Source organism: Homo sapiens, chromosome 5 (assembly GCF_000001405.40).
Source record: "Homo sapiens chromosome 5, GRCh38.p14 Primary Assembly".
In the NCBI taxonomy this organism is placed as follows: Eukaryota; Metazoa; Chordata; class Mammalia; order Primates; family Hominidae; genus Homo; species Homo sapiens.
The window spans coordinates 103,429,438-103,444,536 of NC_000005.10; the positions used below are offsets into that span (position 1 = coordinate 103,429,438).

At 37.1% G+C, this 15,099-nt stretch overlaps 1 pseudogene, besides 1 other annotated feature; it reads right to left on the reverse strand.

Moving 5' to 3' along the window:
• PDZPH1P (PDZ and pleckstrin homology domains 1, pseudogene) overlaps positions 1,096-15,099 on the reverse strand; it is a 96,086-nt pseudogene continuing 82,082 nt past the window's right edge.
• Positions 13,543-13,761: a silencer, noted in NCBI's record as "fragment chr5:102778681-102778899 (GRCh37/hg19 assembly coordinates)". NCBI's record gives its function as "represses an EF-1alpha promoter that drives an FKBP-Casp9 reporter gene in an ReSE screen in HepG2 liver carcinoma cells and K562 erythroleukemia cells {active_cell/tissue: HepG2 | K562}" and the evidence as "EXISTENCE:reporter gene assay evidence [ECO:0000049][PMID:32094911]".

Sequence of the window (15,099 nt, forward strand, 5' to 3'; positions counted from 1 at the left end):
TCTGAGTACATCACAATATTTTGGATACACATAGAGATTGTTCCACTGAGAAATGAAATCAATGGTTAGGGTTTCTTTTGAATTTCTCTGTATTTTACTTTCAGGATCAAGAGAAGAGTATTCTTCTTTTATATTTAGTTTGCACCGTGATAGAAATTCAGGTAGTACATAAGACCCATGTCTTTGAGTTTTCTTCTCTAAATTCAGCCTAATTCTTTATTTTATTATTTTTAGCAATAGCTATTATTTTCTTTCATCTGGGAAGTCTTGGGAGGAACTTGGGCCAGTTGATTGTAAATGGCTTGAGAGAGGAACGGCAAGGCATGGTGGCTCACGCCTGCAATCCCAGCACTTTGGGTGGCAGAGGCGGATGGATCACGAGGTCAGGAGATCAAGACCATCCTGGCTAACATGGTGAAACCCCATCTCTACTAAAAATATAAAAAATTAGCCGGGTGTGGTGGTGGGTGCCTGTAGTCCCAGCTACTCGGGAGGCTGAGGCAGGAGAATCGCATGAACCTGGGAAGTGGAGCTTGCAGTGAGCCAAGATAGTGCCACTGCACTCCAACCTGGGCAACACAGTGAGACTCCATCTCAAAAAAAGGGGGGGGGGGTGGCGGAAAGACGACCTTGTTTGGATGAATTATTTATCTTTTAAGCCACTTTATTTTCATGATCTTAATTTTCCCAAATATCAGCTTCCTGCATCATGGCCTAAAGACATTCTAGGAAGCAAAGAGCCTAAGCACAAAATGGAACATTTAGCAAGGAATGTAAAAGATAAAATTAGATAAGCTTTACTGTACTTATGCTCTCAAAAGAGAGAGTACAGTGCATACAATATTTTACTGCTAACATATGCAGCCTGAGGGGGAAAATATGAGGGTATTAGTGATGTTGATATAAGTTGTATACCTCAATGTCACATTCGATATTGCTGCGGTGCTTTGGTTCAAAAACAAAATTATAATCTCATCACACAGTTTTAATACATTGGAAGAACATTCATTTGAAAAGTTATATAATGATAGACATTTTGTTTGTTTCTACAAGTTGGTGATGAGTTTGTAGATCCTTTTAAGAGTTAGGGTCTCTTTCGCATTTTGGCTTGTCCGAGAGGTCAATTCATAAAGCCTTGAATAGCCTAATGCAAAGGAAGCCATTTTTTTTGATAAATGCTTTCAGAGCTGTAATCCAGCTGCAGAAAAAAATAGACACAGGACTGGTCATTACACAATTTGTTGGACTCTGGGGAGAAGAAATATTACAAAATCTTTTTATTTATTTTCTAATTGTTTCTCTTGGTTATTTAGTTTGAAATTAATAGGATAAACCATGCTCCTTAGATTGTTAGATTTAATAAAAATATAAAATACCAAATGTAGAATATGTTGTGGTAGTAATGAAATATGCTAATATAAAAGGATCAGAAGAGGGTATAATGTTTATAAATAGTGATTGAGCTATAGGGTTTTAAAAATTGTTATTAGTATTTTATTATTTCTATTTAACTTTAAAGCTTAATTGATCAAACACATAGTAAACAAATATTGCCATAAAGGCAAAATAGTTCTTTGTTAAACTCTTGACACTTCAGCAAACATGGGATGATGTTTTATGAAACATGCCTATATAACATTTACTCTAAGGGATGTTAATAGATGTTATTAAAAACACACACAAACACCAAAACAGTTTACCAGTATTCTTTCCGGAAGTCTGTCTCAGATTTCCTGGTTAATGTGCTTTGTTTCTCTGACAGGATATATGATTTGTGTCATTTCTTAAACTTACTTTAGGTGTAAGTGGGCTACTTTGTGGAACCAGAGTTTCATGTACTATGTGACACTCAGCTTTTATGCTTAGAAATATTTCTGTAATGACTCTTGTTTCTTATAAAATCCCCTATGGATTTGGCAGTGAGATCCAACTATTCAACCTCATCTCTTAGAGAACCCAGTGGATTTTATCAGATGGAAGTTAACTGTGTTTCATTGACCTTTTCTCTGATCTGCTGGCTGGATGGAGCCTCACCCTCAAGGGAACTATCATAATCTGTCACCCAGATTGTATAGCACAAGCTCTGGAAAGAAGATCCTGGCCACATATCTAGCAGTTTTATTCTCAAGATCCTCCTGCTGTAGCTCATCTTGAGAAATGAGTGGAACAGGCAAGGTTTATGCAATGGGAGAAGGCCCAGAGAGATCCTTTCTCCATCCCCCAAATGATCACCTGATGGAAATTCCTGAAATTCCACTTTTAGAGTGTTATTTCTTTGGGTTAGTATCTGGTTCTCACAAATATCTCTGGAGGTTTTACCATGTCATGTGTTTTAACAAATTACTGTGAATTTCTTTATTAGATCCTTTTTACTGGATGGGGTGAGGGATGGTCATGAAGCAGTTGCAGGTACGGATGGGAGATGGAGGACGCTGGATGTCTCGGGGATTAGAGTTAGGTCAGGGAGACTTGAGGGATGGAGATCCTCTAGGTACCAAAGAACACTTGCTTGGCCTCATGGCTTTGTCTCTGTGAACTTTACTGCCCTTTTTTATTTCAGTATCATTATGAACTAAGTGCCCATTTGTACATGACAAGCTTGATACTGAACATATCATGAATTAGACAGGTAAGTCCTGTGTCCTTCAATGGCTTATAACAAAACCAAATAACTGACCAAATTCAGATAGACATTTTAGTAAGAGTTGTGTGAAAAGAGGTGAAACAGCAAATCTGTGAATTAATAAATTATAATATTTACAGATTATGGCAACAGTGGATTTTTTATGTTGAAGCCTGAGTCAGCCAGTGCCTTGGGAAGAATTGTGGACTATTTTTCCATTTGAAAAAAAAAAAAAAACACTTCTAGAAGAGTTATCTAAGGATGCATTGACAAAAATCCTGGAGAGTATTAGCTATGAAGACTGCAAAGGAAGAGGGAGAATTGAACTGAAGATGTGAAGTTGGAGCTGGAAAGTAAGGATGAGAGTTTGCTAAGAAGGCCTTCTCAGGACTGGTAAAGGAGAAGAAATACAAAGATCTTGACTTACCGTCGGTTTTCTGTTTCATTTTCCGCACAGAAATAGAAAGTCTTGAACTCTTCGGATGGAGGCTAGAGTTCAATTACTAATTGTTTGGAACTAAGGGTCTGTTCACTCACCCTATATCCTTGCAGATATAGACCACCTAAAAAGGAAAAAAAAATGAGAAGAGGGAAAGAATAAGAAGGAGAAAAGATGTCTGAAAGGATGTCAAGAAAATTTTGTGTCTGAAGGAAATGCTAGTCCAGCTGTCTCATTTTACAGATGAAGAATCTCAGACTCCAAAAGAATATGTAATTTAAGGTCACATGCTAATGATTAATGGCAAGACTGGTAATGGAATTTAGATTTCCTGGTTTCCATTTTTGCAATCTTCTTATTTCATTTTCAGTGTTTAGCTTTGGGTTACTGTGTGCCCAAACTAGCTTCTTTACCTGAAGGACACATTTTGAAATACAATTTTCTGTATCAAAGAATGATACCTGCAATATCATATTAAAAGGAAAATTAAATAGTATTTGCTTGGGCAGAACCACTAAAGCATCCTTTATAATCCATGAAGAATTATAAAGATTTCTGGCCATTTCTGCAACATACATGATTTCTCGCCTTACTTGTGCATATGCAAAGCACATTTAAAATATGAACCCATAGAGTGATATGAGAGAGCCAACTGAATTAACAATGAAAAGAAATGACTGGCTTTAAAAGATAAGTTCTCCCTGGTGATCCTTTGAATCCATGTTAGTGGTTATAAATTGCTTGGCCTGAATCTTGTTTCCATTGTTTGGGGGTCAGGAGACAGATCTCAATCTAGGAGAAGATTCTGAAAAAATCAAAACCCTTGTTTGCTTTTCATAGTGTCTTCATGCTCTGAGGCCAGCCTGAATCTCATGCACAGGCTGTAGACAATATGAGTAATGGCGATGATTAGATGTTTAAAGCCCTCTTGCTCACTCCTATTCTCATCCCCCACATCCTCCCAAGAGCCACTTCAGTGCACTACTAACAGACAAAATATGAAAATGCCATTTGGATTTTTACCACTTTACCTGATAACTATTCTATGCTAATGCATTAATAGACTATGCAGGGAAAATGTAGTCCCTTTGAATATGGCTGGCTTTTGTTTTCCTTTTACTTACACTTGGTAACAAAGTACACTGTCAGAAAGACAGCAATTTTTCTTTTTAAACAGAATGAATGGCTTTTTGACTTTAAAAATTAGAAAAAATTGCTTGCTTTATTGGCAGGGGTGGGTGTTAGATGCAATATTAAATTTCTTTACTATTTTCATTTTTTAAAAGTCCATTTTAGAACCAACTTCAGAAAAAGCATTCATTTTAGAAATGAGATTTTTTAAAAAAACTTTAGTAGGCTCCAGTAATATGGTGTTTACCAAAACAGGGAGTGATTTGTTTCTTTGAGCTAGATGTCTGTATCTGTCTATATCTGTATCTATATTTGTATTTATATCTATATAATAGCTTTATTGAGATATAATTTACATACCATAAAATTCATCCATTTAGAGTGTACAACTCAATGATTTTAGTTTATTTATGGAATTGTGAAACCATGACCATAATCTAATTTTAGAACATTCTCATCACTTCAAAAAGAAACTCCATACCCACTGATGGAAGTGTCTGCTGCCCTCATGCCGGCTGCAGCAGGGAAGCACGGCAGGGGCTGCACACTTCATGGAGCCAGTGGGAGCCCTGCCCCTTCTGAGATGGAACAGGAGCTCCCTGTGCGGCTGCAGCCACCCAAGCTGTAGCTGCAGACCCAGGCCTCGGCCTCTATGGAATAAGCAGGAGCCCCACCCTCCTGGGCGGGGCTATAGCCGCCCAACCTTAGCTGTGAATGGAGCCTCCCTGTGCTCTTGGGGAACCCGGGAACAGGCAGGACCTGTCTTCCTGGGTGCAGCTGCAGCCTCCGCATTGGTGGCTGCAGACCTGGGCCTCCTGCTCCAGGAAGAAGGCAGGAGCCAGGGACAAGCGGGAGACCTGCCCCTTCCCATGGCGGGGGCGGGAGCTCTGGGGTGCAGCTGCAGCACTTAATATAAATGAAATCATGTAATATGCGGTCTTTTGTGGCTGGCTTCTTTCACTTACTATGATATTTTCAAAGTTCATTTACGTTGTATTATATATCAGTAACTTCATTCCTTTTTATTGCTAAATGATATTCCATTGTATGAATATACCACATTTTATTTATTCATTAATGATAGACATTTTAGTTTTCTCCTTTTTTGGCTATTATGAATAATATTGTCATGAATTTTTGTGTACATGTCTTTATGTAGATGTATATTTTCCTTTTAGTATATACTAGAAGTAGAATAAGCAGTAGGCTAGATATTTTAGGACTATAGGATACCTAAAGATGTATCAGAAGGTTATTTTGATATCATTTAAAGCTTTTTTATTTATTATTTTTTAGATACAGGGTCTCACTATGTTGCTCAGGTTGGAGTCAGACTCTTGAGCTCGTGTGATCCTCCCACCTCAGCCTCCTGAGTAGTTGGGACTACAGGCACACTTTATCATACCTGGCTGGTTTTGCTATCTTAATTTTCTACTCCAGACTATAGAATACACAACATTAAATGTTGCTGCACTAGTTTGTGGCTTCTTCCTACTTCTGAGATTTTTTTCTCATGTGTCTGAGGAGATATAAATACCCTCATCTATCATTATTCTTTTTAAGAACAGATAGGTTTGTCCAAGAAGTGTTTGCTACAAGGATTTTCTGACCATTTTTCTAACCAGTTCTAGGGAAGAAATGATTGGCAGTAAAGATATCCAATTATAGCTCCATTACCTCATTTGAGGTGACCTCATTGAGCTGATCTCTCTCTGTTATGAGATAGCAGCAGTAATTAGCAAGCTAATTTGGATAGAGATTTCTTACAAGAACTGTGCAAGTATTACATGTTCCATTTATTTTAATAATGTAAAATATATCTTTCTGAGACATGCACACAGACCTTGATGTGATTTATTCAAGAACGGTAGTCAACAGTCACAATTGGTTACTTCTAGTTTTATTCTGGAGAGAGGGAAAAGGAAAAAAAAAACCTCATCAAGTGTATAGTGAATGAAAAGGGGCTTCATGCTTAAATAGAAGACTAAGGGGCTTCTGGCATACTCATGCTGTGGCTTTTTCATTAGCAGGCACAGGCGAGCCAGCAATGCATGTTGTTAAAGTACGAACCCTCTCCTTGACAGTAAGGAAATCCTCTAGGGAACTGACGAGGCTATTTCTCCAACTCCCTCATTACACATCAGAGGTATATTTATCTAGCTGAAAGTAAAATGTGGGGTTAGTGTCTAATATAGTTTTTACAGGAAACCTGCTGTGTTGCTTCTTACATCTTGCTTTTTCCCCTTATATTACTTTTATCTTTTCCCTGCCTTACTTTGCTGTCCTCGGTATTCTCTCAGCATCTCAGGTGACTGTTACAAGACATAAGTCATGCCAACAATACTACAGATACCTCCAAAAATAGTAACTGTCATATAAGATCTCCCAGATCTCTAATGAAGAATATAAGGAAATAGACTAAAATACAAAATAAAATAAAAATAAAACAGTAAAGCATCTGAGATACTGCAGTCAAGGATCCAGGTCTCTATGTAGCAATGACCACAGAAGCCAGGATCTCAAGAACAAAGCAACTAGTAGCAGACACATTACAAATATAATTAAAAGGAAGTAACCATCTAAATACTGTTTCTAAGATTTTGAACATAAAACTGACCACTTGAACAAATACATATGCAGAGACTGTTTTTGAATAGTTTTTCAAATTTTTTGGCTGTGATCCAAAAATTTAATATGTACAGACCTTGACATATTTTCATATTAGAGCAAAAGCTTTGTGAAACATCATGGTGTACCATGACATTTTCGATTCAAACTCTATTCTGTTGTCATTAAAATCCTGGCCACAATGTACTATGTTCATTGCTGGACTTACTAGTGGGGGTCAAAACCTGTAGTTTGATAAATATTGATATAAGTGGTAATTAAGGCCTGCTTCAAGATTATGACCTCTGTAGGGCAGGAGATCAAAGAACCAGGCCAAAGTGGAATGTACAAGAGTTAAGCAGAGATTGAGCAATATAAGTAAAGGAATTATGGATCAGACCAGCATAAAGGTCGTTAGTTACTTAGCATCAGCTAGAAGAATTGAAAATTAGCATTAGAACTGCATAATCTTTGTGAATATAACAATGATTAGTATTCCTTGTATATCAATATGATTAAGTTAAACTGAGTATTTTAGTGCCTGTAGTGTTCATGGCATAGCATGGGTTCAGCCATTCTCAACAAATTCTTCGGCTGTCCTCATGACTCCTGTGGTTGTTATGACAACTAGCTGGACTGAGTAGACCCTGTCTATTGCAGTGAGTGTGCTGATATCCAGGCTGCAGAGATCAGACAAACAGTATTACTGACCAAGTGCTACTTTAAGAAGACAAATTTCTGCCAGGGGGTACTATACGTAACATTGTGGGTAAGAGTTTGGGCACAGGATTTAGGCATCATTTGTTTACATTTTGTCTCTAATCATTTAATTGCTGGGTTACCATCAGCATGTTAGGTAACTTCTGTAAACCTTAGTTTCTCACCTATGATAATATAATAACAGTGGATGTTTTGTTTAGATTAGACTTAGATAACAAACCTAAGTGCTTATCCTAATCCTTGACACATAGGAAACACTCAGTACATGCTAACTTTCCCACTCCCACCCTGCCTAAGCAGGATGATCCAGCCCTTTAAAAGATGTGGCTTATCAGGGAGTGATTCTTAGTGGAGGATGGAGAGGGCATATTTATTCTGAGAATTTCCCGCAGGAGATTTGAATATGCCTCCATGAGCCTCAGGTTGTAATTCAAGTGAAGAATGTACAGGAAGGTTGATCAGAACACTTAGAAAAATGATATAAACCTCAATTTATTCAAATCAAAAGAATGGTAAAGGGCTTCAGAAGAGCTCTTGCACAGACACCTTAACCCTAAAGAAGGGTTAGCAGCTGATCAGCCTTGGGAGAGCTTCCATCTGGACCAGTAGCAGTCAGAGTGGGAGTGGGGAGGGGGTGTGGTAAAGTTCACCTTCTGGAACAAGGTACATCCTCAGGCAAATGGTATTTTTTATTCAAGAGTAGAATCAGGTAAAAACAAAAATCACAGGCTTCTATTTTAGAACATGGCCTAGATATAAATTTTCTGTTGGAATTTTAGTAAAGGAAATGTTTTTTTAATCTGTATTTGAGATAATTTGGGCTAGAAAGTGAGGACCTGTGGAGATAGAAATATTCAAGAAGTAGGACTGGGAAAGAATGGATGAGTTTGGATTAAATATTTTTATTAACCACAAAATAATATATTTTCAAGAGAGGAGCTGAAAAAAAAGAGGGAAGGTCTTCAACATGTCAACAACAGGCATCTGGTACTCACCTTCTCTGCAAAGAGGAACCAAAATAGTAGATAATTACACTTCGAATAGATAACCCAAGAAGAAACAGTGGAAGTCAACAGAGAAGTGAAAGGAAACACCTAAGGCAAGGACGGAGCAGAAAAACGAGGCAACTTTCTCAGCCCAGAGCACTATTTCTTTCTGATTTAGGGTTTGGTTTATTCTTGCTTTTCTAGTTTTTGAGGTGCATAATTGTGTATTTGTTCCACTTTTCGATGTAGGTGTTTGTTGCTATAAACTCTACTCTTATCAGAGCTTTTGCTGTGTCCTCTAGATTTTGGTATGTTATGTTCCCATTTTCATTTAAGACACTTTTTGACTTCCTGCTTAATAAAGAGTTAATAGTTGCTCCAGAGCATGTTATGTAATTTCCATGAATTTGTACAGCTTCCAAAGTTCTTTTTGGTATTAAATTTTTAGTATTAATTTGGTATTGGTATTCTGTTGTGTTCTGAGAAGATATTTGATTTGATTTTAATTTCTTAAAATTTGTTGGATTTGTTTTGTGGCCTAACATATGCTCTATTTTAAAGAATGCTTTATTTTAAAGAATATTTCCTGTTCTGATGAGAAGAATGTGCTGTAGCTGTTGGATGAAATGTTCTATAAATATCTGTTTAGTCCATTTGGTTTAAAATGCAGATTAAGTCTAATGTTTCTTTGTTTTCTGCCTAGATGTTCTATCCAATGCTTAAAGTGGGATGTTGAATTTTTCAACTATTATTGTATTGGAGTCTTTTTCTTTCTTTAGCTCTCATAATATTTACTTTATCTTCTGTGTGCTCAGTGTTGGGTGGTGTATATTTCTATTTGCCATATCCTCTTGCTGAACTGACCCCTTTATCGGTATATAATGAGCTTCCTTGTCTCTTCTCACATTTTCTTTCCTTAAAGTCAATTTTATCTGATATAAATAGAGCTATTCCTGCATGCTTTTGGTTTCTATTTGTGTGGAATATTTTTTTAATCCCTTTACTTTTACTTTATATGTCTTTACAGGTCAAGTGAGTTTCTTGAAAGGAGCATATAGTTGGGTGTTTCTTTTTTATTTTAGAATATCTTTTGTTCTTTTATCTCTCTTTTATGGTTTACCTTTATGACTTTGTGGTCTTAAAAACTGATACAACTTTATATCTTTCTCTCATTTGTTATCTGTTCTACTAGTGACTTTTATACTTCTGTATCTTTTTATGATAGCTATTCTTTCACTTCCAGATTAGGGCTCCCTAATGCTTAACAGCTTGAGCATTTCACGTAGGGTCAGTCAAGTGGTGATGAATTCTCTCACCTTTTGTTTATCTAGGAAAGATGTTATTTCTCTTTCATTTCTGAAGAATAGCTTTGCCAAGTATAGTATTGTTGGCTAGCAGTTTTCTTTCTTTCGGCACATTGAATATATCATCCCATTCTCTCCTGGCCTGTAAGGTTTTCTACTGAGAAAACTGCTGTTAATCTGATAGACATTCCCTCATATGTGACTTGAAGTTTTTTCTCTTGCTGGCTTTAGAATTCTCTCTTTGTCTTTTACTTTGGACACTTTCACTATTATGTGCCTTGCATAAGACTTTTTTGGATTGAATTTATTTTGGAATCTTTAAGCTTCCTGTCACCTGAATTTTTATATCTCTTGATGTAGACGTAAAAAGTTTTCAGCTGTTGTTTAACTAAATAGGTTTTTGTCTGCCTTTGTTCATTTCTTCTTCTTTGGAACTTCCAAATTTTAAAAATTTGTTCACTTTTTGGTATCCCCCAAGTCAAACGTAGGTTTTCTGCAATCTTTTTAATTAGTTTTTATTCTTTGTCTGACTGGATTATTTCAAATGGCCTGTTTTGAAGTTCAGAAACTATTTCTTCTGCTTGATCTATCTGTTGTTGAAGCACTCAATTGTATTTTTTATTTTATTCATTGAATTCTTTTGTTCTAGAATTTGTTTGGTTCTTTTTTATATCTATGTCTTTATTGAATTCTCATTCATATCCTGAATTGTTTTTCTGACTTCTTTGTTTTATGTGTGTTCTCATGTGTTTCACTGAGTTTCCTTAAGATCATTGTTTTACATTATTTTTCATGCATTTCACAGACTTCTTTTTCTTTGGGATCTATTTGTGGATCCCAAAGATGTTTCTTTGGAGATGTCATGTTTCCCTACTTTTTCATGTTTTTTGTGCATCTGATATAACACTTTCCAATTCTATGGATTGGCTGTCATAAGGAAATACATTTTTCTGTAGGTCTACATATTATGTTGATTAGGTATGATGCTTTGGCTTTGATTCTGAGTGGGTCCAATAGCATAGTCTTTGTACAATTTCTTCAGCCCTGATAATATCATTGGTGTCTGTGAACTCTTCAGTGACTTAGGCTGAGGTTGTTCATAGAGGCTGTGGTGCAGCTTTGCTGGGAATGGGAACACCAAGTGGGATAGTCCTTTGGTCCCTGGATGGTATATGCTAGTGCTGGCAGTTGCAATGGGGTAGGATATATTTGCAGGACTGCAGGTGGCATGCATGGGCTCTGGAAGCAGGCAGCATGCCAATTCTTAGTCCTTTGGATGGTGCATCTGTCTTCAGGTCCCCAGATGCTGTGTATTGATTCCCACACCTGGGTGGGTGAGTGTCAGTAGTGGTGGTGGGGTGGGATGACCATAACCTTAGAGCTCTGGATGGTGCTTGAAGAAATTAGATAACTGTTTATATCTGGAAAGAGTGTCATATGGAAGAAAGGCCAGGCATGTGGTGAACTGAGTTCTAGTTTTGCCTTTGAACTGGCTTTTCAATTTCCTAATCTCCATTATTAAATGAGGGGATGACAAATTACTCACAATTCATAGCAATCATGGTCAGTTAAGTTAATTTGAATATTCTTTCATTAAGTACACATAATGTGTCATTTTTGGAGCATATAATACCTTAGAAAAGATAACCATTAGAAAATAAAACACAAGGTAAAGGATGATAATTGTCAAACGACAGTTAAGTTCAGAAAAGAGAGAAGGTTTATTTATCTAGGACCATCTGAGATTGCTTAATAGTAGAGATGGACAGCCCTTGAATAGATGTTTGAAGGACAGCTAGAATCTGGACAATTTATATTGGGTGATCAGTAGGTAGGAGACAGTTCAGGGGAGGGAACTAGCACAAATAAAATCATTGGGTCAGAAAAATATTAACAAGGTGGGGTGTGGTAAAGAAATAGAATGCAGCCCTGTTTGGGTGGAATGTAGGGTACTTTAGCAGAAACAGCGGAAGATAAGGCCAGAAACAGGAGCTTCTGGACAAAATATAAGGCCCTGGCGTGCTCTAGAGGCAACAAAGAATGATAGACATCTCTAGAAAGAGTTATGCAACGATAAGAGCTGAATATAAACAGGAATTTCATTTTCTTCTTCTTCATCAATTTTTTTCTTTTTATTGATAAGTTAGGCTACCTGGGTTCAAATTCTGTCTTCACCATTTACTATTTAGGAGAACTTAGGCAAATTATTTAACCTTGCTAAGCATCAGTTTCTAAACCTGTAGGTGGGATAATAACCTATAACCTACCTTATAGGGTTGTTGTAGAAATTAAATGAAATAATAAGTAAAAGCACTCAACAGAGTGCCTAGTACAAGAGCTGCTCTCACTGAATGACAGCTGCTGCTTTTGCTGTTATTATATTTAAGCTATTTAATAGACCAGTTTTTGCAGCTCTTTAATTAGGACTTTTCTGTTCAAGTAGGGCCTCTGACCTTTTGGGATAAGAAAAGCCACCTAGTGGCTGTCATTACTATTTTTAACCTCTTGTAATCAGTGGCAGTCTCTGGGCCCCAGGGGTTTAAAAGCACTTTGCTAACAGTTCTGAATTTGGAGTAATCTGTGGATTCGATCCCAAGCATTTTCTTTCTGTCTATGAAAACAGTCCCTTGAAAATTAGCTTAATTGATTTGGTAATTAAAGGAGTTCAGACGTTTATAGTGATATTTTATACTAAAAGTCCCAGTCAGTGACTACTTTGGAGGTTTAATTGTTTTGTTTACCTTAATTCCCATCCTGCTATCAGCTGTTTAAAACTAAGAATTTGGGGTTGAATAGAAACAGCCTGTTTTGTAAGGGCTTAGAAAGACTATCTCTTCATAGTGGAATGATGTTAGGGTCATGTTTTAAAATGGAAGGGAGGGTGGAGAAGACTCATTTCATTGTTCATCTTGAGTGATGAAAAACGGGCCATGGTGTGTTGCTCACTTTGTACCTCTTGTACACTTCCAAGGTCAAAATGGTCACTGGATGCCTCCTTCCAATTTGGCATGTCTACCTATCTAAACATAAGCATTAATCCTAAAAGAAGAAATTAAATGACTGAGATTCCAGGATGTTCACAATTGCTAATTACTGCTAATTATTTAAAGATTATTCATATGGGAAAAATTTAACTGCAAATAGAACACCAATGATATATTTTGTCAAAAATTATAAGAAAGTTAAGTAATTTATTTTGTGGAAATCAGGTGCAATTATTTTATTAAATTATATTATTTGTATGATCATTTGTACATATAACTTTAAACTATTATATATAATTTAATAAGTATAATACATAATAAAATACATACAGTAAAACATAAAATATATCTAATAATATATGTAAGAAAACTTTGTATAGAGCTTTCTTAAATCACTTTAATAGCAATGACTCATTTGATCTTCACAACAGTTTTGTGGAAGATTGATAGCTGTTATTCCCATTTTATTAATGAGGAAACTAAGTTTTAGGAAGTTAAGCAATTTGCCCAAAGAAAATAGTTAATATGTGTTTTTTTGTTGTTGTTGTTACTCACTTGTCCAAATTAGGACTACTATGTGCTATAATTTGAATATTTGACCACTTTAAACCTCATGTTGAAATTTGATCCCAATGTTGGAGGAGCGGGGCTAATGGGAGGTATTTGGGTCACGGGGGTGGCAAGGGATGATCGTATTTTGCAATATGAGAAGAACATGAATTATGGGATGTCAGGGGTGGAATGCTATGGTTGGATATTTGACCCCTCCAAACTGGAAAGATCCCCAGTGTTGGAGAAAGGGCCTAATGAGAAGTGCTTGGGTCATGTGAGAAGATCCCTCATGAATGGCTTGGTGCCGTTTTCGTGTTAATGAGTGAGTTTTGCTCTGTTAGTTCCTGCAAGAGTTGGTTGTTAAAAGAGCCTAGCACCTCCCTGTTCTCTCACTTTCTCTCTTGCCGTGTGATCTTTGCATATGCTGACTTGCTTTCCCTTTCCACCATGAGTGGAAGCAGTCTGAGGCCCTGACCAGAAACAAATGCTGGCACCATGCTTCTTGTACAGCCTGCAGAACTGTGAGCTAAATAAACCTCTTCTCTTTATAAATTACACAATAACAATGACTTAGGCATTATGAGAAAAGAGAGAAGTCACTACCTAAGAAAACTATTGGTATTGACTCTGAATGCATCAATGACAAAAAGAATAAAGGAATTTACTTTTCACTTTTCCAGGCAATAGAATGTGAGGTGAAGGGTACATTGGAGTTAGCCTGGCTGTCTTCAGATCCCACCTTCATTACTTACTACATGTGATCTTGTCAAGTTATGTACACTTTGCAGCCACTTTCCCATTCTAATTTGTAAAATGGGAACAGTAATAATACCTCTTCTCTGGAGGACTGATGGAAGAATTTAGGTAAAGCACATGGCACAGGGCCAGGTAGAAGATCAATAAAACTAATATGTTGCTACTATTATTATTGTAATTACTATTATTTCAAGTGAAATTTGAGTCCATACCTGAGGCTTGGGTAGAGCGATTGTTATCATAGAAATACAAGCCAACCATCCTTTCAAGATGCAATAGTGCAGGACCCACATGTCCGTGTTTATATCCAGCTGGTGCAGAAGACCCAGACACCCTGGGTTCTTGATAGCCAGAGGTGGGAGGCTACTGTTGTGCAGAGTAACATCTTCCCAGACATGGCTCTGCAGGTGTAACATAAAAGGGTCAGCTGAGTGGTCATCCTGTGCCAAAAGTCTTCAACTCCCAGACCAAGTCTGTCTGACACTAGGGAAGCCACTGCCCTACGTGGTTCTTGCTAAGACAATCTGAATACCCGAGCAACTAGCCAGAAAACCTAAACTTATCCATTGTCTATAGGGAAGTACTCTTTTTCCTTCTCGTGTCCATAGACATCCCTTCTTTTTGGCTTCTATTTTATTCTGAGGAAATCAAAAGTATATCAGTCAAAGAACAGGGAATCATGTATAGAAAGGCAATGGAAACAAGCACCTTAGCAAAGACTGTTTTTAATGCCCCTGTCTATAAGCGCTGAGCCTGATAAGTTAGGTAACATGTCTGGGAAGATGTTACCTCACTCACCATTGGGATTGTCTTCCTAGCCCTGTTCCTGGTATGTCCACTGTGACGAATAGCAATCCTTGGTTCGTGCTTTTCCTTACCTGTAACTCTCCTTTGTGCAATGGAACTAGTTAAATGCCCCAGGCCAACTCAGGTCTTAGGCTTTCACAGTCAGTGACATGAAGGCCAAAGATAAATTAAAATTCTCTTCTCTGGAGGG